The sequence below is a fragment of the Homo sapiens genome, chromosome 6 (assembly GCF_000001405.40).
Source record: "Homo sapiens chromosome 6, GRCh38.p14 Primary Assembly".
Taxonomy (NCBI): Eukaryota; Metazoa; Chordata; class Mammalia; order Primates; family Hominidae; genus Homo; species Homo sapiens.
The window spans coordinates 129,657,465-129,684,702 of record NC_000006.12 but is presented as its reverse complement, the minus strand read 5'-3'; the positions used below and the strand labels follow the sequence as shown (position 1 = coordinate 129,684,702).

Below are 27,238 nucleotides of genomic sequence, written 5' to 3'. Positions count from 1 at the left end.
AACTACGATGATTCCCATGGACTTCTACGGATATATTAATGCTGTTTTGGAGGACCCTCTGTGTGCCGCAGGCTCCATGACACCTAATGTTGGTGGATGCGTTCTGGTGTGTATGTGTTTCCATGAAATTTACAAACTAACACACAGCATTCTAACATGTTCACTTAGGAACTTTCAAAACTTTGCCCTACAAGACAACATTCTCAATAGAGAAAATTTAGAAAAATAGCAGCACAAAAGAGGAGGCAAAAGTCACTTATATTATTAATATAATACTACTCTAGAGCTAACCACAATTGAATTTTATTTTGCCTCAGTATTTTTTTCCCATGCACATTCCTAGGCATGCTATCTTAAAGCAACAGTTTGTGTAGTTAATCTGTTGCTCTCCCCACAGTTATATTTTAACTAGGGTACTGAATACAGAACGTTTTGCACATGCATTTTTGCTGGAGAAACCACAGATATGTAGCCATTTATAGTGTTTCTTAGCTATCGCATGCATCATTTCCTCTCCTACTTCCTCCTGTCACTGGCAGTCCTGCAGCTGGCCTGCCTTGCCACTCCTGACATCTGAGTCATCACTGACATCTCTCTCCCCAGGCCTGCTCAAGGAGCTCTTACTAAGCTTTGTTATTTTTTTCTCTCCAAGATTTTTCAGATCTGTACTTTATTTTTCAACGCCCCAACTCAATCCTAATCTGCACTTCAATCATCTCGCGCTGTCAGTGTCAGTTTCTTGGCTTTGAGCTCCTTCTCTTTTCAATTCACATTTTCAAAAGCCATTTTCTCCCAAGTGTTTTCTCACCTTTCCTTTCTTAGCAGAACTCCCCCCCGCCGTGGTTACACCTCCACGTTACTTTCCAGGTATGCCCACATCATTTTATGATTCTTGATGGTGTTCTCATTCACCATATCCACTTTGTGCAAGGCAGAGATACACCTTGCTGCTTTGTTATTGCATTGTTGTGAAAGGTAAATTGGGCTGGCCCCAGAGAAAATTGTGAAATAAGGAAAGATTTTGCCATCTCCAACCTCTATTTTCCATTACATTTTTGACTCATCAGGGCTTTTTTCTTCTCTGACTTGTTATCATTCCGCTCTGTAATTCATACTGCTAATCAAAATATGAAAGGATCTGATATTGGTTGTTTATACGTAAATGAATTTGATCACAAATTATTAACGTGTGATCAATGTTTTAATGAAATGAAGCTAATGCAAGTAGATATAGTTTTTCATTTCTACGGGAAAAAAAGCCCGTACTTGGCAGATAAAAAAACCAACAACCCTGTGCTGGTTCCTTCCACCTCAAATTAAAAGAAAAAACAAGGCCGGGCGTGGTGGCTCACGCCTGTAATCCCAGCACTTTGGGAGGCTGAATTGGGCAGATCACGAGGTCAGGATATCGAGACCATCCTGGCTAACATGGTGAAACCCGGTCTCTACTAAAAATACAAAAAGTTAGCCGGGCGTGGTGGCGAGTGCCTGTAGTCCCAGCTACTCGGGAGGCTGAGGCAGGAGAATGGTGTGAACCTGGGAGGTGGAGCTTGCAGTGAGCCGAGATCACGCCACTGCAGTCCAGCCTGGGTGACACAGCGAGACTCCGTCTCAAAAAAAACAAAAAAAAAAACAAAAAAAAAAAAAGAAAAAACAAAACACATTTCTCACTTTTTTTTTCCTGAAGTATATAAGTCTGTGAATAACCATGGTGGTAAAAACAGAAAGGAGAAACAGAACGAGAAAGAAAGAAATAGAACAATCAATAGAATATAGTAATATTATCAAGCTATGTCTTTTGATTAAAATGTATTATATGGTTTACCTTGATTAAAATGCATTATGTGTGCAGTTTTCTCAAAAAAATTCTTATTGTGTTTTATTGTTCAGTCCCTTGTTTATTCTCAGCTGTGTGTCCAGTTACTCTATCCATCTTAGACTATAAACTCATCAAGGCATTAAACATGTTGTTTTCTTTATTCCTGAATCTCAACATCTAGTTAATGCCAGGCAGGCTGTGGACAGTCAATAAATGTTTGCTAATTATGTGATGATGCTTTGGGACATAAGAATGTTGCTTTGTGTCTCTAGGGTTTTAGTTTATTTTTACCAGATCAAACTTTAGAATTCGACTAACACTAATGTCAGAAGTCTGTGTTTCAGTAACCATCTACAGATAATGGCACCCAGTTGTCCATGAGGAGATGCCATTTGCATCCTGTGTGGGTGACAGCTATGCTTTGATTCCTCTTGGATCTGTAGGACTACTTGCCTGTAAGACCTCATGTATTGTTCTGGGGGTCTGCCAGAGAGGGAAGCTAGCCTCAGAACACGGGGAAATGAGGCAAGGGGGCTTCAGAAGTGGTCATGTCAGGATTCTGGCTTGGCAAAGAGAAAGGCGTGGGTTGTTTTATGTTCCAAAGCTGGAGTTATTTCTTCTGTGACCCTGGCATGTCTTCATACTTAACAGACACCAATATTGTCCTTTCCTTGGTTTAGCCAAAACCGGGGGTTAGGGTGGGTAGTAGGAGGTGAAGGAGCTTTTCTTCAGTATGTATGAAGGGGATTGACGTAATATCTGCTTTCATAAACTGAATCTCCAGTGAGCCTTCCTTTAAAAAATAATTGTATGTAAAAACCACATAATGATTCTGTAATTACAGTGTGTTGGCACAGTTGTTAAATTATAAATTTAATAAGCTAAGATGAGCTCAGTAAGAGTATAGGCTTTTCACTGGAGTGAAAGGACATTACTTGATGAGATACAGCAGAGAGGAAACAATAGACTTTTTGTGTAGCTGCCTGAAACTTCTGCTAGGTGAAGGCAAGCCAATAAATGAAGAAGAAGGGATAATGGATTGCCTAACCTGTGAACTTGGTCACCATGTTCTTTGAAAACAAAGTGAAATGCAATGTGTTGTCTTTGGACTGTCTCACAGTGCTTACCCTACATCAGACAACCCTTGTCTAGTATTTCACGGATTTTGATTTGCTATTTATTTTGCATTTGCCTTCATGTTGCTATGTTTTAAGCCATGAAATGAATTATTTATTCTGTTTATACAAGCAAAAAAAAGTTAATAGCTCAAATAAAATGGGAATATATTTGTAATGGCATCATAGTATATGATGTGGTATTTTTATTCTTGCTTAAGAGGCTGAAGATTGAATTTGTATACTAATTCAGATCTGGAGAGAGAAGAAAGTAGATGGGGCTTATATACAAGCAGTCATTGAATTATTGATTTATATGTAGGTTTTCTACCTCAGGATGTTTTCTTTTTTGGAGGACACTGTTAAGTATTAACAATGTTAAGAAATACTTCTAGCTGGGCGCGGTGGCTCACGCCTGTAATCCCAGCACTTTGGGAGGCCGAGGCAGGCGGATCACGAGGTTAGGAGTTCAAGACGAGCCTGGCCAACATAGTAAAACCCTGTCTCTACCAAAAATACAAAAATTAGCTGGACATGGCAGTGCGTGCCTGTAGTCCCAGCTACTCAGGAGGCTGAGGCAGGAGAATCACTTGAACTCGGGAGGTGGAGGTTACAGTGAGCCGCGATTGTGCTACTGCACTCCAGCTTGGGCAACAGAGTAAGACTTCGTCTCAAAAAACAACAACAACAGCAAAAAAAACTTCTGATTAAGGATCTTGGCAAGTGGATTCTAGAATGGCAGCAATTCTCCATGTCCAGGAAACTAGAGAAGGAGGCGAGTCAGGATTATGGTGGGCTGTGTTACAGTTCTACTCAAAGGGTTTATCGGGAAGGCAGAGATTTGGCCCATCCTCCACTGCTGTCATTGCTGAAGTACAAAGTCATAATGCCTCCTCACTGTTTTCCTTGGAGCCCTGAGGTCCATACATACTCTCTGGGTTATCCATATAATTTTGCCTTTAGGCTTTTAGGCTCTCTAGCCAAGAATTCCTTTTTCAGTTAAGGAAAAGCAACTATAAGGAGCATGTCCCCTGGATGAATGCCATGTTACTCTTCCAGTTCTGGAAACGATCTGGCTCCAGGGTACCACCAGACCAGGCTTCGGCCTTGCCCAGATTTACCTCTGATCCTAAAGGCTCCTGAGAACTGGCCCTGTGTAGGGGGCTGCTTGCTGAGCTTTCTTGGGCTCTTTCTCCCAGGATTAATACAGTGCAGTGTCAAGCCAGAGTTCTGAAATGGGTCAGTAAAAGTTACAGGAGCTGTTCGAAAGGAAATTTGAGGTTATTATTGAGGAGGAAGGAGAGGGGGAGAAAAGAGGTATAATATTAGTTTTAATTTGTATGGTACTTCCCAGTATAATTTAATTAAATTCTCACCTTAAACGCCTTAAATAACTTAGGAGTAGAGAACCTTGCTTTTGGGGACCTATTCAGAAGCAGAAAAACTCTTCAGATATGTTTGGAGCAGAACTGTAAATGCTCTGGCTTAGTAAATTTGTATTTTTTTTCTTATTACCCTTTTTCATTCTTAGGCTTTCTGTGTAGGTATGATTGTCTGATAGTGGCTTCCAAAAATTTTTAAAAAGGTCCTAATTCACAGAAGTTGTGAATGTGAACTTATTTGGAAAAAGGGTCTTTGCAGATGTGATTAAGTTAAGATCTTGAGATGGGAAATTATCCTGGATTATCCAGTTGGGTCCTAAATGCAATTACAAGTATCCTTTTAGGTGGCAGAGGGAGATTTGATATGCAGAGGAGAAGCATGTAAAGATGGAGGCGGAGATTGAAGTCATGTGGCCACGGCAAGGAAATGCTGGTACTGCCAGATAGACACTGGAAGAGGCAAGGACTGGATCCCTAGAGGCTTCGGAGGGAGTGCTGCCTTGCTGACACCAGGATTTCAGCCCAGTGATCCTGCTTTTAAATTTCTAGTCTCCAGACTTTTAGAGAATAGATTTCATTTGTTTTAAGCCACCAAATTTTGGTAATTTGTTATAGCAGCCACATGAAACCAATGCAGGAGGGAAGAGAAATAAAAACGAAATGGAAAGCAACTTGTTCAGGAGGACCCTACCACCAAACTTAATTTTCATGAAAGAACACCCTGTTGTTTACTTACATGTAATATCAGCTTTTACTACAAGCCAGGCTTAGTTGAATTCTGATGGTCAGATTAACTTTCCAAAAGCAGCCCTCTAATCGTGTCATGTGTGTTTGTCTGTATTCCCAACATAACTATAAATCTGGGATCGTGTTTGGCTTGTGTATAATTGTATCCACATTACTTGGCATGTAGTAGGTTCTCAATAAATATTTTCCAAATGAGTACATGCTTAAGTATGAACATTTTAGAAATCAGGACTCCAATCTGCTTTTCCGGCTATGTTTCTCCCTATTCTTTTTATGTTCTTGCCAGGGAAAAATATCAAGTTGGTGATAGATAAATAATGAATAATAACTACAGTTTTGCTATGAATAATAACTGTCCAGATGACAGATGGCACTAGTTTAGACTGATTGAAGAATCAATATTAATTGGAACATTTTTGTTGTATCTCTTAAGAGAAAGTGGCAAATTAGGACAAATCAGATGAATAGTAAGGATTTATTTTAAAATGTACTTTAAAGTGTGTTTTTAGGGTCAGTAGAGATAAAACCCAAATGGATCCTATGCCTACAGTATTCTATAGAGACAATTGATATTCAGAATAATGTAAGTAAGGCACTGGACTTCAACTTTTAAAAACATTAAAAAATAAGCATTGAAGCCAAAAGAGTTTATTCTACAGTTTATTAAGCTACTTAGTGAATTCCTAAACATTTCCTATCATCTGAAAGTAGTTTTCTGTTTGTGATATGCTGAATTTTGTACCTAAGATAGTATCTTGTCTAAGATGATCACATGAGCAAGATGGTTAATATTGTTTCCTCAACTTTTTATTTTGAAAAATTTAAGCACTTAGAAATTTTTACAATGGGTTAATGAATACATGTAAATCTTATGTCTATATTTGAAGTTTTAAATTTAGAAAAATTTAATACTACAAAGCTCAGATCACACTCCAGATAAATTAATCTCAATCCCTGCATGAGTCACAGGCATACGTATTTTTTGTTTGTTTGTTTTTGGTGAAGCTCCCAGGTGATTCTAATGTGCAGGCAAGTTTGAGAACCACTGCACTGTACCATTATCACACCAAAGATAATTATGGTCTAATATGAAGGCCATATTAAAATTTCCACAATTTTCCCCCAGATACCTTTTACATGGTTTTGTTTCCAAATTACAATGTATTTGGTTGCTATATCTCCATAAGTACAGATGCCAGCGGCTCCTGCACTTTGCCAGGCATCCGTTGAGTGTGTTGTATATGTTTGAGCAATATTTTTGCCTGTACAGCTTTTCTTGAGCACAAATGTTGTATCAGCATGGATTTGGAAAAGAGATCAATAGAGAACTGCAACTTTCTAATCCATAATGCATTTAAGTTCAGATATGTGCTCAGAGATGTAAGGGGGAATTTTATTTCATGTTTTGTGTAAATATTGATCGGAGACCCAAAAGGGCCTACCTTACAGACCTCTGGGGTTCAATGGGGCATGGTGTGAAATAACACACACTTGAAGTTTGCACCTTCCCCAGGCTGAGCTGGTATAACTTGTGTGCATGTAATCATCTCTCTGTTATCTGACAACAACAAGGACAATTCTACTTTGGTAGAAATGTAAGGCAGAGCTGATAAAGAAAATATGGATGATACTCATAGGCAAGTTTTGTTTTTTACCTTTCAAGTATTGCTATCTTGCATTTCCTTTCCCTTTCCCACATTAAAATTACTCATAGCTTTGGTGGTAATATTATTGCTGTATGGGAAGCTTAAATACCAGCCAGTGGTGGGAGTGCTGAAGTTTGGGAGCAAAGGTTTCTGTGCAAGGACAAGGAAAAATGATGATAGGAAGAAGTGACTTGTGAACAGTGTTGCTATAATAAAAGACAAGAGGGTTGGGGATGTGTGGGAAAGAGCCAACCAGCTTTTCAAGGTACCTTAATGATAACAGAATTCTGAGAAATAGTGTAGCCATTGTTATTTTACGTCTTTCATTGAATGTTCTGTAAACATCAATAAGGACATTTCCTGGAGTTTGTTGAATAGCACACACAAATATAACCAAGAGATACAATCTAAATGCTTTAAAACAGTGTCTCATTTCTTCTAGAGTCAGAACTTTAAATTGGTATACTCAGTGAAAGTGAGAGTGCACCAAACTGGCTAAAACTAGCTACCCATAACCATAAGTTAGTGTAATTATTATGAACAAGGAAAGAAGGGTAGATGGAGGTATATTAGTCAACAAAAGCAATTTTTTTTTTTTTTTGAGACGGAGTCTCGCTCTTTCGCCAGGGCCGGACTGCAGTGGTGCGATCTCGGCTCACTGCAAGCTCCGCCTCCCGGGTTCACGCCATTCTCCTGCCTCAGCCTCTTCAGTAGCTGAGACTACAGGCGTCCGCCACCGCACCTGGCTAATTTTTTGTAATTTTAGTAGAGACGGGGTTTCACCGTGTTAGCCAGGGTGGTCTCGATCCTCCTGACCTCGTGATCCGCCTGCTTCGGCCTCCCAAAGTGCTGGGATTACAGGCGTGAGCCACCGCGCCCGGCCAACATAAGCAACTTTTTATTTAAACTTGACCTTTGGCACAGGACTCTGACAGTCTCCCTGAATTTACGTTTTAGATCTGGCATTGCCATTTATCTTATCTAGGCTTAGTGATACAAAAATTCAGCGGTGTTACTGTCCCGGAATCCTCTATTTTCCTTCCTTAAAAAAAAAAAAAAAAAAAAAAAAAAAAAAAAAGAGGACAAAAAATTTTTCATCTGTTTTCAGATAAACCACTGATTGATAATTTTCAAGGATATTACTTTTACCTTGCAGTTATAGATTTTTGTGTTTAAGGGACTTTGAGTCTCGTTTGGTATAACTTTTTTTTTCCACACCCAAGGAAATGCAGGTTGGAGCGGTAAAGTGACTAGTTGGGGAGCTCGTGTCTAACTGGTGATGGAAGGAACAGAACCTAGAATCCCTGATGAGTGTTATGCAGTGAGTGCTTGCTCAATGCATCACACTTTGCAGGCGCTTTAAAGAGTATTATTGTAACATTTAAAAGTGAAGCTCTATAAGGGGTATAATATTAAGCTCCATGAGTAGATTGAGTCTTTCCATTCCATCTTCAGGATGGGAAAGGAATGTTTTCCATGTGAGCTCTAACTGTGGAGATGCCAGGGGTGTGAGGGCTCATAAACCACCTACAGTTGATTTTTGGACAGTTTGATGGTTTCATATACTAGTGAAGATTCAGTTTCTGAATACCTTAAACCCCCTTGAATAGACTGACCCTGTGATGTAGGTTCTAATGGTGTTATTGGACCTGTTGCCCCCCCTCTGCAACTCATTAGGGTAATTTAACCTTTGTGGGTGGTTAGAAAGCAGAAATAACAGTCCTTACCACTTTCCCTCGTTAGAAGACATTGACTACTTTTGCTACAGATTACTACTTTCCCATCTATTAAAGGAATACTGACCAACTGCATAAGATGTGAGGAAGCTTGGCCAGTTAGCAGCTCTCCTCATTCTCTCCCACCTTTCTTACCATTCAGTAGCCTCTTCTGGAACATAGCCAGGAAAGAATCAGAGTCTGACACTTGATATAATGGATCAAGTGCCTGGCCGCAATGGCACCAACCAGGTTTTTTGGGTGGATCTGTTTTAAACATTGAGCAGAAATAAGAGCTGCCATTTAAAATGACCCAGTGGCCCCTTATTGATCAGTCCTTACATGTGATTCAATTGCTCCTCCAATTGCGGACAAGAATGGAGGAGGGTGGGGTGGAGTACGGTGGAGTGAAGTGGCTCTTGGCTAAACTTGGTGTAGGAATTGGTCTAAAAATGGTAGCTATTTGATTGACAGCTCAGGTAGACATAGGGACGTATGGAGGGGAATTTATTACCTGCATCTCTAGGAACAAGGAAAAACAATTAAGTCTCTATTTCTTATTCCCTCTGAGATACTCTCTCATAATGTCTTAGGGCTGGGAACCCAGCTGTTTCCTTGCTCTTAGGTCCATTTATACTAAGCAGGGAAAAGGCAGGTGGCTGTGCTGCAAGAGATGTTCCAGAGAGAAGTATCCATCTTTTTTAGATGTCTGTGGTAAATGCTTTTGTGGGCTTTCCAGATGACATTGCCAGATAATGGAATGTGAAGGCTCCTCCAACACCCGCCCACACCTTGCAGATGTGAAAAATGGGTGTTAGGGTTATGTAGCTCATCAGTGTGAGATTGAACTAACGTCCACCTATTGCCACTCAACCTCTTTTTTTTTTTTTTTTTTGAGATGGAGTCTCGCTCTGTTGCCCAGGCTGGAGTGCAGTGGCGCGGTCTCGGTTCACTGCAAGCTCTGCCTCCCGGGTTCCCGCCATTCTCCTGCCTCAGCCTCCCGCCACTCAACCTCTTAATTAGAGACTCCCAGGTGAGGGGGTTAGCCACCTGAGTGAACTGAAGGTGGATTGCCTGGGGTCTAAGTCCAGATCTCCCACTTACAATGTGACATTGGCCACGTTATTTCACCACTTGTCCTTCTGTTTCTCAACTGACACATTGGAATGGCAAGATTGTAAGGAGTAAACGCAAAAATACCTGTGCAGATGTTTAAGAGTCGCTGGCAGATGGTAAGAGCTCAGTAAGTGTAAGCTGCTGGTATCATTTCATTATTATTGTGTTCCCTCATGGCTGTTTTGCTCTTTAGCAATTTTGTCAAAATTTTTAAAATGAAGAATGGAGGCGACACCTTATAAAAATGAAATTTGTGAAATAATCATAGATTCAGTTGGCCACACTTAATATGTGATAGCGAACTGATGTCACAAACATCAGGGATTTATAATTTAACTCTTGGGGAGGGCCTCTGCTGAGGGGCTAACTAAACATAAACAGTCCTCACTTGGTATCCATGGGGGATTGATTCCAGGAACCCCTGAGGACACCAAAATTCACAGATGCTCAAGTTCCCAATATAAAATGGTGTAGTATAACATATGCACATCCTCCTGTATAGTTTAGATCATCTCTAGATTATTTATAATACCTAATACACTACCCATACATCACTTTACTTGCATAGATTCAACATAATACTCAGTGCACAGCACATTTAAGTTTTGCTCTTTGGAACTTTGTGGGATATTTATTTTTCCTGAATATTTTTGATCCATGGTTGGCTGAATCCACAGATGTGGAACTCATGGACGTGGAGAGCTGACTGTTTATATAAGCTGTTTAATCAGTCGTGTCACAGAAAAATAATTCAGTACATTTTTTGTAGTGTCCTAGAACCATAGAATTTTAAAGTTTAAACGGATACCATGTTCATATTCTCCCTTGGTTTTCAAGGAAGGAAGGAGGCCAGAAAGATTAAGTGACATTCAAGATTTCACAATTAATGATGGAACCAGGCAGGCAGCCTATGGTGTCTTTTTTAAAGTTGTGGACATGTATTACAAATCTTCCTGTGTGCCTCCTTCCTTGCTAACATCTTACACTTGTTTCTTCAATACCAGGTGGTTATAATAATGAGAATTTTAATGAATACTTTTCATGTAGATAAAAATTGTTAATTGAAATTTTAAGACAGTTTATAAAATACTATAATAAAATATATTTCCTTAGTGATGGGGAGAGGTAGAGTTGGGAAGAAGCTTAAAACAAATCAGTTTCTATCTTTTTCAAAGAGGAGGAGTGTGTGTATGTGTGTGTGTATGTATTACTCTGTGGGCCTAGAGATTAAGGCAGTGAAATTTGAGCCAGTACTTTTGAAACTTTCTCTATTTTGTCACTCAGTTTAGAAGATTTGAGATAATATATCTACTTCCTTTTCTGCATTGCAGTTGTATTTAAAATATATTATAAAATAACCTAAAAGAATAGAAATATCAGATTTTCAAAGTTGGTGAAATGAGTTGTTATTTTGGATTTTTGACTGTGGTCTTTTCTGCAGATACCATTAAAAAGAGTTAACTGATGTACATTAATTTAAGAAGCAAATGGTAAAAATAAGTGCATGAAAAGAATAGAAATAATTGAATCTGATCATTCTGATCATTCAAGGCATTTACCATATAAATAGTTGAGATCTGAGAAGTTTCATTGAGACAGATAAGAGCTTAAAAATGTATGAATCATTGTTGACTAATAGTTAAGGCATGCAGGCACACTTAGAAATGTGATTTCCTTTACTCTATCCTTCCTATAAAGAGAAAAAACACTTTTAAAATAAACCTGGTTTGAAACCAAAATGCTGTACAACTTAACCTTCATTTGGGACATTGATTTGGCTACTCTATTTAAGACTTTTTTTTTTTTTTTGGCATGACTATTTTGTCCTGGGAAGCAAGCTGCAGATGGCTTTTGACTTGGGGAAAAAAAAATGAGAAAGAAATTAACAAGGGAAATAGGAACTGGATATTTGTATTAATTTCCATGTAGTATGAAAATACGTAGCAAACAAAAATATTTCCATTTTTAAGCACTAGATGAAGGACATTGTGAAGCATAATAGACTTATCTTTCTAAAATTTATGCAGAAGCATATTTTTAAAGAAAAACAATTCTGATCTTTTGAAAGGTCTGTAAATGCTATGAAATGAGTCATTGGTGTATTCAAAAGAAACTGGGCAGGAAGTGGAGAGACCCATGTTTCAGCTTTCTCTGCAGACAACTGGTTATATCACTGGAGACTGCTTGCTCCCTTCTCTGAGTTCCAGTTTCTCCATCTGTAAAATAAAATGACTTGACTAGGTAATCTGTAGATTTCTTTCTTCTCTGAAAGTCTGTCGTTGTTAATAAGTTGAGAATTCAGAGATTAATATGTGCTAAGGTCTTGAAAGCTTTACTGAGGATATTAACAAGAACCAGATTTTGAAGGAAATATGTTTTTTGAGAAAGAGGGCATTCTTCTTAGCCATAGAGCATGAACAAAGACATTATTGGAAGGAGCATCCTCATTATTTATTGCCTAATTATTATAAAAGCAAAGTTGTTTCCTATAGGTTGATTGAATTAGGCATTAGCTCAGCATACTGGGGACAGCCATTGGAAAAAAATGTTTAAACAACTAGAACTACACTGAATAGAATCGTACTGTGTTTGGTGAGTAGGAAGTATTGCAAGCCTGTGTAGATATGGAACTTAATATACGTCACACTTCTGTGTAGTAAGGACTAAGGAAAAAGCCAACAGTGGGTGTCAACCAAGACCCATGTTACACATAATGGGTAATGTTGAGGGAGCAATGCTGAATGAGTTCTCTTGGGTGCTGAGTTGGGAGTGGGAAGGAAGGAACTGACATAAAGGGATGGAACTGGAAGGTCCCAGAGACAGTGAGGAGGCTGTGCTAAGTTAGAGATCTTTGTGATCTGAGTTAAGGCCAAGGTTGTGGCCACATTAGTGAGACTTGATGTACCGTGGAGAGTAAGGTTGGCACACACAATTCAGAAGAACCTGGGATGGGTGGGGTCAGAGGGACACAGACGGTTAAATTTGAATGGCGATGATTGCAGAGGACATAGATGAAAAATCTGAGCCAGGAGTAGAAGAAAGGGGAGAGGAAGCGTGTGTGTGTGCGCGTGTACGTGTGGGTGGTGATATGAGACTGGTTTCTGGAACCCACTTTGTCATGGTTTGTGACCTGTTCCTGCTGTGAGTGTTGTAATCACTTAACCTCTCCGAACTTCTGTGTTCTCAGAGGCAAAATGGGGTGAACTAGATCAGTACTTCTCAGTAGTGCCCTCTAAAGGGTATTTTGAGAATTTGTGGGGGTGTTTTATGTTGTCCCATCATTTGCAGGGCAGGTTCCAGCTGTGTTAGACATTCTACAATTTCAGGACAGACTTGCCAAACAAAGAATTGTCTGGTGTCTAGAATGACCTATTTGGCATTCCTGAGAAGATGTCATGTACAAGTCAGTCTCACCTCTGCTTAATCTAACTCAAGTTTTTTATTTTTTATTTTTAGAGACAGAGTCTTACTCTGTTTACCCAGGCTGGAGTGCAGGTAAACGATCATAGCTCACTGTAGCCTCTAGCTCCTGGGCTCAAGCAATCCTCCCACCTCAGCCTCCCGAGTAGCTATTAATAGAACTATAGGCTCACATCACTGCACCTGGGTAATTTTTAATTTTTTTTTATAGAGATGAGGTCTTGCTTTGTTGCCCAGGCTGATCTTGAACCCCCAGGCTCAAGCAGTCTTCCCACTTTAGCCTCCCAAAGCACTGAGGTTATAGGCATAAGCCACTGCGCCTGGCCCTAATTCACATCTTCATTTGTGAAGATGAACACACGTGTCCCTTTATCCTTTTAATTTTTGTATTTCTCATGCAGAATGTTTTCTGATCTTATTTTTTTCCAAATGTGAACTCATTCTATAGGTAAATATAATAAACAGTTGACCACTTCATTTTATGTCTGTTAGTGTCCAGGCACATATTGAGAAACCTATTTTAAATTATTTTCCTTTATTTCTCCTTAATATTATCATAAAGGGCATATGCATACACACAGGATTATGTATAGATAAATTACTTGAACTTTACTTCAGAATCATAAAGGTGAAGATTATAAAATAGGTATTAGGTTAAAGACAAGTGTGTTAAGGTTGACAGCCACTGAACTAGAGGGTGTCCATGGCTTCTAACTCCTGACATCTCTAAGATACTGTAACTGCAAATGTTATGATTTGAAGAGGTAGGTTTTCTATCTTGGGAAGGGCTTAGTACTGGGAAGTGTTAAAAACTGACATCAGATTGGGAATTGGGTAAAAGTCAGCTACTTCTTGGGACTCCAGGAAGGCCTGAGGAAGTAGAGATCTGTGTGGAGGGGAGGAACCTGAGGGGGTCTTGACGGGGAGCTGGGTTCCTGCTGATGCCAGCAGGTGAGAATAGGGGAGCAGAGCATTGTGATTTGGCAGCTCCTAGAGGAGGGGAGTAGGCTGAGAAAGTCTTGGTGGGGGGAGGCAGTAAAAAAAAAAAAAAAAAGAGTTACGACTTCACATACTTTTGGTGAATCTGAATGAGTCTCCTTTTGATGCGAAGTAGGTGGTATAAGAGACTTTTCAAATAATTTAACTGTCCACCAACGTAGCCTTCTCTTCAGGCAGTTTGTTTTGCTTTTAAATTATGAGAGGGTACCACCCTCCATCCTCGGTGTGAATATTCTCTACCAGAATGCAGGAAAAACGTTACCTGTGATATGTGATCTTCCTTTTCATTTTAATGGGCACATTGTTGCCACTCAGTTCTGAAATAGAGAATTTCTCCATCTTCCACTTCGTTAACTTTGCACAATATATTGAAGAATATTTAAAATACTAAAACTCCAGGTGACTGTAGACACCTACCATATAAGAAAGTGGGAATGTCAAAATAATGAGATATCCATGAAGTGATAATGTAAGCTCTCTTAGGTTTATTTCCTTTTTTAAAAAAGTTGAATTTAGACCAGAGAAAGCTTGAACCTGATAACCAAATTAGCACACACTGTAGTCACAAATAAAATTCTGAGGAGGTGTTTTGGAGTTGAATTTAAGGGGAATTTTAATAAAAACTGTCTTTATTTCAGTCCAGCAAAGTAGCTTTATGCAAGCATAAGTGCCTGAGGAGAAAAATTATACAAAGTATAAGAGATAAATAGATACAAAGTTGATGTAATTTCTACTTGCAATGTGTAACAGGGATTATAGTGTGCCAAAATTATGGTGTCATAGTGAATATATTTAGCATAACTTTTATAATATTTGTTCACTCTAGAAAATTAAGGCAATACTGAAAAGTACAAATAAAACAATAAATTGCCTATAAAACCATTGCTTGAATATAGCTTCATTAACATTTTGATCTATATTATTTTAGTTATTTTTCCTGAATTTATTTATTTTTTTTTTTGAGACGTTTCACTCTTGTTCCCCAGGCTGGAGTGCAGTGGCATGATCTCGGCTCACTGCAAACTTCGCCTCCTGGGTTCAAGCGATTCTCCTGCCTCAGCCTCCCAAGTATCTGGGATTACAAGCATGTGCCACCATGCCCAGCTAATTTTGTATTTTTAATAGAGACGGGGTTTCTCCGTGTTGGTCAGGCTGGTCTTGAACTCCCGACCTCAGGTGATCAGCCCGCCTTGTCCTCCCAAAGTGCTGGGATTACAGGCATGAGCCACCGCGCCTGGCCTATTTTTCCTGACTTTAAAAAGTGCATGTTAGGGCCGGGCGCGGTGGCTCACGCCTGTAATCCCAGCACTTTGGGAAGCCGAGGTGGGCGGATTACAAGATCAGGAGATCGAGACCATCCTGGCTAACATGGTGAAACCCCGTCTCTACTAAAAATACAAAAAAATTAGCCTGGCATGGTGGCGGGCGCCTGTAGTCCCAGCTACTCGGGAGGCTGAGGCAGGAGAATGGCGTGAACCCGGGAGGCGGAGCTTGCAGTGAGCCGTGACCTCGCCATTGCACTCCAGCCTGGGCGAGAGAGCGAGACTCCGTCTCAAGAAAAAAAAAAAAAAGTGCGTGTTAGATGCCAAGCACAGCAGTTGGAGTACGGAGACCACAGAGGAGAGTAGTGCCTGGCTCTGTTTTCACTGAGCACACAGCCTGTCCTACAGACACCGCGTAATTGTTTTATTTCTCTGGAGTTGAGGCAGTCCTATTTGGCCCTTTATGTGAATATTTCTAGTCCTCTTAACAGCCATGCAAGATGATAGGTATTGTTCTTTCATTTTACAAATAAGGAAACAAGTGTTCAAAGAGGTTAGATATTATACCCAGAGTTCTGTGTCCAGTCAGCAGCAAGGTTGTTGGACTTCAAAACCTGCAATTCTCCCTGCAGCCTCAGACTATCACTAAAGGGGTCTCATCATAATTGTGGAGTCATTCAGTGAGTGTTGGAGAAGAGCAGTGCACAACATGGTAGACGTTTAGAGATCGAGTGGAGGACGTTCACTGCAGTGTGGGCGTTAGGGAAGTGTGGAGGGTGTCAGACAGAAGGGGACGGTACAGGCAAGGCTTCTGGGGTAGGAAAAGTGCCTGGTGGGCTCCGGCAGCTGGTACTGTTTGGCCATAGTGGGGGACTTGAAGGGAGAAGTGGGAGAGGAACCCGACGAGGAATGGAGAAAAGCTGGGCAGAGCTCATAGAGTCTTGAACATCAGGCTGAAGAATCGGGACCAGATGGACCAGGCTGCCCTGGGACTGACTTATGGTTTAGAAAGATTTAAAAGAGATTTTGGAGATGTTGAAATGTACTGAGTCCATAGACTGTTTTTAATGGTGTGTGTGTCTGTGTGTGTGTGTGTGTGTGTGTGTGTGTGTGTGTGTGATTATTTGGGTAAATTGATGGTTTGGGGACTAGGGGTTGAGGATGCTGTATTTATATTGCACATGTGCTCCATGCACTGATACCCTTCTTCAATGAAAAAGGTCATCTGAAATAAATATGGCCAGAAATAGTGGGTTTATATCATGTCCTGGCTTGGGAAACATTATCTCTAGAGAAGAACTATTTGAATGAGGGAAATTAATATAAACAAGACCAGATAAGCTTGTTACACGATAATTCCAAATGGATGGCAGGTAGCTGACTAGGGAACTTTACATATCTATGGTATCTTGAAGTTGCAGATTTACTTGCATATCCAAGGGGCATTTGACATACAGAGGGAGAAAGAGTTGGAAACTATTGTCAGCCTCTTTCCTCACTTCCATTTTACTTCCTTTTGATAGATGTGCATGTCTTTCCTTTCCTTTGATGAAAAAGATACCACTGATGCTTTCTTCCCTTGCTTTTCCATTGTTTCATTGTTTCATAACCCTCCTCTCCCTTCTTGATTTTCAATTCTTTTGTGCATGCATATTTCTAAATGCTCAGTAACCTTCCTCCTCTTGGCCAAGAGCCCAGGCAGATATTATCAGACTCCTGTCCTTGGCCAAGAGCCTGCTGGGAACCAGTGAATTTCTTGTCAGTTTCTCCTTGCCCTCCATGTATGTATTGCCTTCTGCTTGGCAAATCCTGACCTGAAGGGAATAGCCAATGCCTTACTAGACACTTTGGATCTCAATATATGTTTCCTGAATGAGTTTATTACTCATGTGAGTAGAGAATCCTTTCACGGCAGGAATTCTCTTTAGGTACCCGTGAATCTAAAGATATATATGCATATATATCCACATACACAACACACACACACACACACACACACACACACACACACATATATATTTTTCTTTTGATATAGACCTGGTTGATGCCTGACTCATTATAGATTTTGATTATATTAAATTTTTGAATGCTTTGTGCAGAAAGCATTTATTAAAGATACAGGGAACTTTTGGCTTATGGGCCAAATAGGGGTTGTAGTTCAATTCTATCTATCCCTGAGAAGTATTAAGAGATGTCACTGTTCTAAAAATGTTGCTAAGATTTTTGAAAACATTGAACAACAGTGCCCACAAGATGGGGATATTATTCCATGGGAAAAAAAAATATATTTTTTTCTTAGTAAAATTGGGGCAGTGTAGGTTCCCCTACTTCCCAGAGTGGGAAGATATTTTTACTCCCTTTAGATTAAAAAAAATGAGTTTATAAAATGAAAATGTATTATAATTTGTAAGTGCTTCAATATTGTGAAACAATATTGACTGATTACTTTTCTCATTCCATATAAGACTTTGAATTTTTTTTTAACAAAGGAGTATTTGTAGATGAATTAGACATTTGACCCTCTGTATAAAAAATCTATGCTTCATCCCAGATTTAAAGGAAGTGCTATTAAGCATCAACAAAGAATAGGAAATAGCTTTTAACAGGTACAGGAGAAAAGAATGGTGTTCCCAATCAACTAAGACTTGTAACCTTATTTGTGGGATGAGATATACACAGAAATGTTTAGTAAACCAGGATGTGGTATTTACAACTGTATATACACTTGTTTTTGATCTCTACTTCTAAGAAGCATTGGTGTCTGTATGTGCAGGTATAGTCAGGATGTAAATCAGTTTATAATAGGATACTTTGCAAGAGAAGTAGCTGGGGAAGGGTGGAGGCAGGCCCTGGAGTCAGGTTGAAGGCATCCCAGAGTGGGGGCCTCCAGGATGTGGCTGAACGGTGTGGAGAGGGCCAGGGGCATTCTTGGTGACGGAAGTAGCATGAGCAACTAGTAGGTGCTCCAAAGGTGGTTTGATGAGGATACTGTATACCATTGGCCCTGTGAATAAGAACCCACAGAAACAGAGGGCCAACTCAGTGACTTGAGCATCCACAGGGCTTGGTATCCACAGGGAGCCCTGAAGCCAATCCCCATTATATGGAGGGAGGAGGACTGTATTGCATTAGTGGTGTGGCTAGACACTTGCCGTTCTTTTGGCTGCCCAGCATCTGAGCGCTCATTCTGGTGTGGGGAGTTCTCTACTTTCGGAGCTTTGCTGGGAGGCAGAATAACCCTCTTTTCCACAGAAAAAGAGGGCAGTGTCAATTGCTACAGGCATTGCTGGTGTGAGCATCATCATCTGCTGCTCCCTGGTGCTCCTGGATCAGTCCATGGCGTGATCTGAGGCATTATTCCTGGCTTTTGGACATTCTGGGAGCCACCTAGTAAGCTTTTAATAAAATTCTCTTCTGCTTGGTTTCATCAGAGTTAATTTTTTTCTATTTTAATTTATATTTTTAATGTATTTATTTTGCCAGTAGACTAGCAGCAGGCAAAGATATCAGAGTTGATTTCTGTAGCTTGTAATTAAAAGTCCTGATAGAAAGAGATGCACATCATTGAGCACTTTCCTCTGTGCCAAGAAAATTGCATGTGTTTTATGTACGTATCTCATTCAAGTTTCTCCTGAACTCTGAAAAGAGGTAACATTATTGGTCTCTCATTCACAGGTGAAAAAACCGAGGTTCAGAGAGGTTAAGCAATTTAATCAAGGTCATGCAGGCAGCAAACAAAGCTGGGATATGATCCAGGCTTTTCTGATAGGGAGACTGTGATCTTAACCTCTTCTGCTCTGCTCTATGTTGTTATTAACTACCTGTTTGTATTTTAGAGCATTTTATTATGAAAGGTTCTTTCGCAGAACATAGTGGAGGCAAGACTTGGCTCTCTTACTTGATTATTTTTTATTTATTTATTTATTTTTTTGGAGACAGGATCTGGCTCTATTGCCCAGGCTGGAGGGCAGTGGCACGATCTTGGCTCATTGCAACCACTGCCTCCTGGGCTCAAGCCATCCTCCCACCTCAGCCTCCTGAGTAGCTGTGACTACAGGCATGCACCACCACACCTGGCTAATTTTTTTTTGTATTTTTAGTAGAGATGGGGTTTCATCATGTTACCCATGCTGGTCTCGAACTTGTGAGCTCAAAGCGATCTACCCGCCTCAGGCTCCCAAAGTGCTGGGATTACAGGCGTGAGCCACTGCACCAGCCTTTTTACTTGATTATTAAAAATAGGATTTGACAGATGTAGATTGTCATTGGTTAGAATGTGGAATTAAACCCTTGTTCTACTTTGCTGTATTGTGTTTGGGGCTGATGTAAAGGCAGAGAGTAGATCCTAAAGACAAACAGGCATAGAAGAGGGAAAGTGGGGAATGAAGAGGTGGGAGGAAAGGAACTTATCACACTTCTAAAAAGTGCTAAAGGCTCTGTCAGAGTTCTGCTTCTCACATCATCAAATTTTCAATAATAACTATTCACCTAGAACAGTCTATACCCGGATATCTGCATGGCTGAAACTCCCTGCCCGCTATCCCCTTCCCCCATTTCATTCAGGTCTCTGCTCAAGTGTCATCAGAGAGGTCTTCTCTTCCATCTATAATAAACTGCTCCCTGCTACCCACCCATCCTCTTAACCCACCTAATTTATTTTCATAGCACTTCTCACCACCTGACTGGTTATACATCTTTGTGTTTACTTTTTGTCTCCTTGCCACTAGAATGTGTAAGTTTCATCAGACCACGGACTGTTTTGTTCACTACTAAATCCCCAGCATTTAGAGTGTATCTGATACATAGTAGATGCTCAAATTCATTTACTTCAATCTTGAGTAAATGAATGAAGGTGAGGAAACTGAGGCTCTGAGAGTTTTAGATAACTTGCCTTTGATCTCATGGAAAATGATGAAACCAAGTTGCAAATTCTAGTCTAGGTGACTCCTAAGACACCACATTTCTCAGGTTCCACTCTTTACTAACATCTCTATTCCTGGGAAAATTCCTCTATTTGTACACAATTTGGGTAAGAAACATCTCATGGGATTTCAAAGTTGAAAAAAAAAAACCTTAAGTAGCCAGTCTAACTTTCCTATTTTACAAATGAGGAAATAACCATGATCCATTGAGGGTAGGTGACTTGATCAAAGTAATACTGCTATTTACTGATAAAGGAAGGACCACAATCAACCTACCTGGTCATCAGTTCAGTCCTATCTCCCCATCCCCTGCTATGTTTATTGCTGTCTTGATAAAGCAAGCCCTATTTGGTGCAGAATTCAGATGCCAATCATTGGTGATGGGTTCGAGATAATGAGTCATGCCATTTTAATCCCATAATATTAACGCAGTAAAGCAGAGGCTGCAAACCCAGAGGCCCACAGGGACCCATAGATAGCATAGCTTTCAGATGGGATTGGTGGGGGCTGTGCCAAACTGGGAGGTAGATAACCTGTTCAAAGGGGCCAGCCCCACCACACCTGCTGCCTGCTCAGAGAAACATGTTACAAGAAAAAAACATGGTAAACCAATTTAAAAATGTTTGAAACACCCTGCTGGCCAAACAAAACACTTCTGGCTGCCAGGTCACCCTGGTGGACTTCAGTTTGCGATTGCTAAAATCTTAGTATGAACAGCTCTTTCCAAAGGAGATTTCAGTACGTGTGGATATGGTGGAGAATATGTGAAGTGCTATCATTGTGGCTAATTGTTCTTTAGCCAAAAGATTAGTGGGTTGGACTGTCAAAGTTCACAGAGTGAAAATAATTAACAATAAAAGAGTATTTATTGCCTGTCTTTATTACCCTGGTGATAAAGTTGAAGAGTAATGTGTTTCCTCTGTCACGATACAATCTGTCCTAATGGAGGATACTTGGTTATGCTGTTTCCTGACTGGGAGTCAGGAGACCTTTTTAGATGTTTGGTGCAGCTATTAACTACCTGGATGTTACTGGGCAAAGCACCCAATTTTTCTGTTCTGCCATATTCACATTTGAGTAATTAAGGACTGGACTTAATTATTGGGGCGTAGGAAACAGGATGCAGAGGATTTTATACCAGACTTGAACCTTGTTTTTTATCTTCATCTCTAGAAAAAAAGAAAAAGCCTGTGTTGTCAGAGCAAGATAGGGACTGGATCATTCGTATCTATCACATATGTCTTTGAGCACATTGATAATCACAGTGTATTTGCTGCTCTTCTTCAGATGAGTCAGCTGTGAAGCTTAGATAGGTTGAGAATGACTGGACTTAGTGATCTCTAGGGTCGTTTCAGCTCTAAACCCTGTCACAGCTTGTGTTACCCTTGCTGGGGACAGATTTCAGAGGCATTTATCATACAGAGTCTTGAGCATGGGTTTTGTGGCCACATGGCCTGGGTTGCATCTTCACCTTCCTGGCGATGTTGATTTTCTCTAAGCCTCAGTTTCCTCATCCTTAAAATGGGGGGTTATAATGACAACTGCCTGGTAGTCTCGTTATTGTGATAATTGCCCCTGACAAATTATTAAATTTAATTCTTACAGTGAAGCAACTGGGCAGCATAAATAATAAAATTTTAATTAACATTTACATTTCAAATGCATGATAATTCTCTTTTTCTGGCAGATTTTAGGCTTTTAAGTTTCTTATTAGGAATTGAGATGTGTTGGAATTAAGAGGTGGCAGGCTTAATCAGTACTGTTCCTCACTTACACATTCAGTTTAGCCTAATGTGCCTCTCTATATTTAAGCAGTACCAATTAATTAAGGCATAGAGAGCAGTGAATCTTGTATCAATGTGAGCTGTAGGTACCCTGATTTTAACCAAACAGCTAACTTTGCCTGTGGCTACAAGGTCATGCTTGTGAATCCTTGCACAGTGAAACAGAAAGAAGGCTTCACATGGGCATTCAGTATCACTCGAAGGAGGCCATCTGACTACAACTTTGCTGTAGAGGGAAGCATGTATTACAGGAGAAGAACTGCTTTAGTAGTGTTCACGGGCTAATGTGAAGGACTTCTGCACTAGAAGAACAAAAACACCTCTCCAGATCCATAGTGGAGCATAATTTAAGGCAAGAGGATGACAATAGACAAATTGCACCCACTTCAAAAGGAGAGAGTGTGTTTACACTGAGTATTTGTTCCAAGGAGCTGAGAAGCAGGCACCATGCCCTGATGGGCCCTTCACACTGGGTTGCTGTCACTGCTGAAAGAGCAGCCTGTCCTTGTCTGCTGTACTTTCATCTTCTGCCATATTTGTATTCATGTGCGCTATCCTCCCACATAAAAGAGCACAGCTTGCTATTCCTGCCTTTGCTTCTGTGACCTGCAGTAAAACCATTAAAGATATATTTTAAGGCTTTTTACATGGAATGGTAATTATGCACAATGGTTTTTAATCATTTGGCATCTAGCATGGAGCCTTCAGAGAGTATTATGCCTCAGAGAGCTGCAGCTTGCGTGGATCTTGGGAGGGGCCCTTGGTTTCAGGGGCTTTGTGTTCTGTGTGTGTGTGTGTGTGTGGCAACACCAGGTAGTGACAACAGTGTCACCTGGGAAACAGAGGACACAGATGACTGCTTGGTGGACTTGAAACCAGCTCTAAACAGCTGTTGGGTTCTGAACAAAACTCCAGGAAAATTGTTCGCTGGGTGAGCTGGTGGGATGAAGAGACTGGGATGGGCTGAGGGTGGAGGGCCGAACGGATACCCTGCACGTTATTTGTGGTGTTGTCAAGGGAGAGTTTAGAGACATCACATGAATCTCACCTTGCTGCCAATTTGGTTCATAGAAAGTCACAGCTGGAAATCTTCTTAGAAGAGAACATCTTGTTCTCAAGCCCCTCATTATACAGCGGAGGAGACTGTGGCATGCAGAGGTGAAATGACTTGCCTGAAGTCAGTTAGCTGCTTGGTAAAACTAGCCAAGAATCCAGGCCTTCTGATTCCCCCACCCCAGCAAATAGTGTCTTTTTTTTTTTTTTCATTTAAAGAGAAAAAGGGTGGATATTTATTAAATAGGGGGAAAGAAACAGTAAAGTAGAATGAACAAAGTATAATCCTATTATCAAGGCAAACCACTGTTAATATTTTTATATTCATCATCCCATATATTAACTTTTTTACAAATTATTATTAAACAAATTATCCATATTTTGTATCCCACTTTTTTTTTTTTTTTTTTTTTAAGATTCTTGCACAGGCTGGACTTGAACTCCTAGGCTCATGCAATCTTCCTGCGTCAGCTTCCCCAGAAGCTAGGACTACAGGTGTGTGCCACCACACCTGGCTGCTTCCACTTCTTTTTTATAGTTTCCATTTATTTCTGCTTCCACTCGTATCAAATTTTTGTTGCCTAGCATCCCTGACTATTAAGGAACATTAATACGAGTTTGTCTTAATCATAAAAAGAAGTTCTTTATAGCTTTAATGTTAATTCACCATTGTGATTCTTTTGGTTTTTTTTTTTTTTTTTAAAGGTTTTGTGTCCTCTTTTTCTCCTCCTCCTCTTCCTTTTCTTCTTGGTTCCGTTTTTAATGTACTTAACAAGAAAGTCATTGTAGACCTTTATGATGATTCTTTATTTCAATTCCAAACATGCATACTCCCTCACACCACACACAGATTCTTTCATCCTAAATTTGTTTTCGTTGAGCTCTTTCACTCCTATCATTTTAACCCTCATGGATATGCTAATTATTCCAAAATTATCTCCAGCCAGTAACTCTTTCATGGGCACAACCTAGACTTCCAGATGTCTAGATCAGTTCTTGTCTATTTTGACTGTGCACAGGCGTCACCTTGGGATTTTGTTAAAATGCAGATTTGAATCCAACAAATCTGGAGTGGGGCCTAAGATTCTGCCTTTTTGGCAAGCTTGATGCCTGGTGCCGCTGGTCCGTGGAGCACATTTAGGTAGCAAGGGTCTCCAACATACCTCAGATTCAGCAGGTCCAAACTGAGGGTGTCACATTCTCTGCCAAACCTGCTCTTTTTTTTCCTATCTTCACTTTCTCAGTTAATGACTTTGCCATCTACCCTCCTGTCCAAGAACAAACTGTGGAATCATCTTTGTTTCTTCTGTTTCCTTCATCTACTTTATCTAATTGGTCACCCAGGCATTCTCTTTGGGAAAAGCTTCTTGAATGTGTCCTTTCACTTTTGTTTCTACCAATGCCCTTTGGATTCAGGACCTTATCATCGCTCAGCGATCTGTTTACGCCACAGCATCTTGGCCCCAGGCTGTCTCAGGATGTGCCTTCTCAGAATTATCTTTCTAAAACAGGAATTTGATAGTGACATTTGCTTGTTTAAAAACTTTCCATTGTCGTACTGCCTGCATTCCAGGGTTCTTAATTTGACAAGCAAGGTCCTGCAGGATTTGGCGGCAGCCTTATTCCCTCCAACCCCAACCCCCTATCTGGTGCCTTCTCCCTCCCCCAGGGGGTTGTACCTCCCTGAAAATGAATGCAGTCTGTCTACATCACCGCACTCACGGTTCTCTAAACCCACTGTCCATGCTTGCTACTCTGTCTTTGCTTGTGTGGTTGCCATGCCTTGAAGGCCTTTCTCATCACGTTCTACCTGGTAGACTCCTACTCAACCTCCGGCTCATGTCACTCTTCTGTGGAGCCTTCAACGGATCCCTTCACTAGAGCTTGTGACTTCCCTAATATGTGCTTCCATAGCACTTACCACTTAGGATATGGAGTTGCACATGTCTTTGTTGCCTTCTAAATTCTAGGCCCAGGCCGGGCATGGTGGCTCACACCTATAATCCCAGTACTTTGGGAGACCAAGAGTTCAAGACCAGCCTGGCCGACATGCCGAAACCCCATCTCTACTAAAAATACAAAAAAGATTAGCTAGGGTGTGGTGGCGAGTGCCTGTAATCCTGGCTACTACAGAGGCTGAGGCAGGAGAATCACTTGAACCCAGGAGGTGGAGGTTGAAGTAAGCCGAGATTGTGTCATTGCACTCCAGCCTGGGTGACAGTGAGACTCTGCCTCAAAATAAAAAATAAAATAAAATAAAATAAAAAAAATTCTAGGCCTATCTTGTCTGAAGTACACCTGCGTTCCACAGTTTGGCATAGTGTGGAATAAAGTAGGTTTTCTCTGAATATTTGCTGAGTCAATGAGAAAATAAATGTTTTGTAGATAAACAGGCATTAACTTGTACATGTTAGCAGTGAGAAGGAATGACAGCAATTGTCTCTGCTGGGCTCTACGAGGAGAACCTGCCTACTGCCTCATTCATTCTAAAGCTACCCTGTCAAGACAGTAGTCATCAGCAACCTGTGGTCATTGAACACTTGGACTGTCTGCTCCAAATTTAGTTATGATGGAAGTGCAAATTATGTGCAGGATTTCAAAGACATAGAATGGAATAAAAAGGATTTCATTAATAATTGCCATATTTATTACATGTTGCAGTGATGATATTTGGTGTATATTGCGTGGGTTAAAATTAACATTAATTTGATCTGCTTTTCACTTTTGTAAATGTAGTTACTAAAAAAAAATTAAATAACTTTCGTCCTCACCTTTTATTTCTATTGGCCAGCACTGTTCTAAAATATCAATTTATTTCTCATATTTGAAGCACCTCCGGAAGGTTTCCCATTACCCCCACAATTGTGCTTTTTAAGATTCCATAAAGTGATGTTTAGTTGTTTTCAATTCTTATGAGTTACTGACTTTAAATTTGTTTCAGTGAAGACTCTACCAGTGAACTCAGTTCAAGTTGTGTTTTTGAGATGATTCTCTTGATTCTTACTGAATCACCAAACTGAAGAACTTTATCATATGTCAGATGTTACTGTTACCTATAAATAGAAAACTCAAAATATATTGTTTTTCTTTTTACCATGACCTAGGGGATTAGAAATGGAAAGTGAAAAATTTTAGCGTAAGATTTGTCTGCATCCTCAACCCTGATGTCCACACAGTTTCTCACTAATTTTGCTGATTTAAAATTATACACATTGCATGCCATCATTGATACCTTCTGCTTAATCAGTTTTTCAGTGTTTAAAGCTTAAGGATTCTATCACTTTTATGTTTTTTTTTTTTCCATTTGAGGTGCCTAAGGCAATTTTATTTTAATTTTTTTGTAATCATAAAATTCTTTTCCAGTGCATCCTTAAACAGATCTCCAAATAACAAAATCAAGACAAAGATTCTGTGGTTGAGGTGTAAGTTGGGACCCAGAGAGGTCCTTGCTTGCCACTTCCAAGGCAAAGTGGCAGGTGAAATTATGGCTTTATAGGTGAAAAATCACTACTAACAAGTTAGTGCTATATGATTTTTTAGAAGGAGAAGAGACAAGATATTGTCATTCCTTTTGTAGGATGTTTCTTGTAGGATGTATCAGCCATGCTCACACGGTGAACAGTAGACCTGAAGATATGCCACCTTCTCTCTTCCAGTAGTAGTTCCTTCCCACACTATACAGTGATAATGGTGTAAGAAACACTTTTTCTGGAAACATTAGTATGGGCTAAAAATGATGACAACACTTCAGGTGGGAATAAGAACCTATTGGAGATAAGATGAGTGACCGTATACTATGATTCATGGAGCAATAGCCCAAAGTAAGGATTAGGTGAATGCTTAGGAGGCAGCTAATAAATGTCGGTCTCTTTTCTGTCATGCATACTCCATCGCTTATTGCAATTCACTGATTAGGGTTTAAAATGGCATAATGAATTATGCAAAAACTGTTTCTGCAGGAGGGTCTGTGTTGCAGCCTAATGCAGCACAGATGGAAAGATCCTCTTTTAATCATTGTTCTCACAGTACTTGGAAGCTTTTTGAGGAATAAGCACTCAGAAGTGGAAGTGAATGGCCTTCCACAGTAAATGAATTCCTTCTGCAGAGAGGAACTGAAATGTATTTTGCGATGCAGATGGTTGCCCTGTGTTTGAATACTCATCCTTGTCATTTGGGATTCATGCTTAGAAGCAAAATGTCTCTTGAAATACTTGAGTTTAGATGATTCCATTGGAGAAATTGCTCCTGTCCAGTCTGG

General features: G+C 40.1%; 1 protein-coding gene across 1 annotated transcript in view, besides 5 other annotated features; it reads left to right on the top strand.

Moving 5' to 3' along the window:
• Positions 1–27,238, top strand: part of ARHGAP18 (Rho GTPase activating protein 18) — a 134,046-nt gene that overhangs the window by 25,475 nt on the left and 81,333 nt on the right. The window lies entirely within an intron of this gene.
• Positions 365–659: an enhancer, noted in NCBI's record as "tiled region #14599; K562 Activating DNase unmatched - State 5:Enh". NCBI's record gives its function as "activates a minimal TATA promoter and a strong SV40 promoter by Sharpr-MPRA in K562 cells {active_cell/tissue: K562}" and the evidence as "EXISTENCE:reporter gene assay evidence [ECO:0000049][PMID:27701403]".
• Positions 11,632–11,771: a silencer, noted in NCBI's record as "silent region_17533". NCBI's record gives its function as "represses an Ori minimal core promoter by ATAC-STARR-seq in GM12878 lymphoblastoid cells {active_cell/tissue: GM12878}" and the evidence as "EXISTENCE:reporter gene assay evidence [ECO:0000049][PMID:35858748]".
• Positions 21,954–22,033: a silencer, noted in NCBI's record as "silent region_17532". NCBI's record gives its function as "represses an Ori minimal core promoter by ATAC-STARR-seq in GM12878 lymphoblastoid cells {active_cell/tissue: GM12878}" and the evidence as "EXISTENCE:reporter gene assay evidence [ECO:0000049][PMID:35858748]".
• Positions 22,054–22,103: an enhancer, noted in NCBI's record as "active region_25046". NCBI's record gives its function as "activates an Ori minimal core promoter by ATAC-STARR-seq in GM12878 lymphoblastoid cells {active_cell/tissue: GM12878}" and the evidence as "EXISTENCE:reporter gene assay evidence [ECO:0000049][PMID:35858748]".
• Positions 22,134–22,203: an enhancer, noted in NCBI's record as "active region_25045". NCBI's record gives its function as "activates an Ori minimal core promoter by ATAC-STARR-seq in GM12878 lymphoblastoid cells {active_cell/tissue: GM12878}" and the evidence as "EXISTENCE:reporter gene assay evidence [ECO:0000049][PMID:35858748]".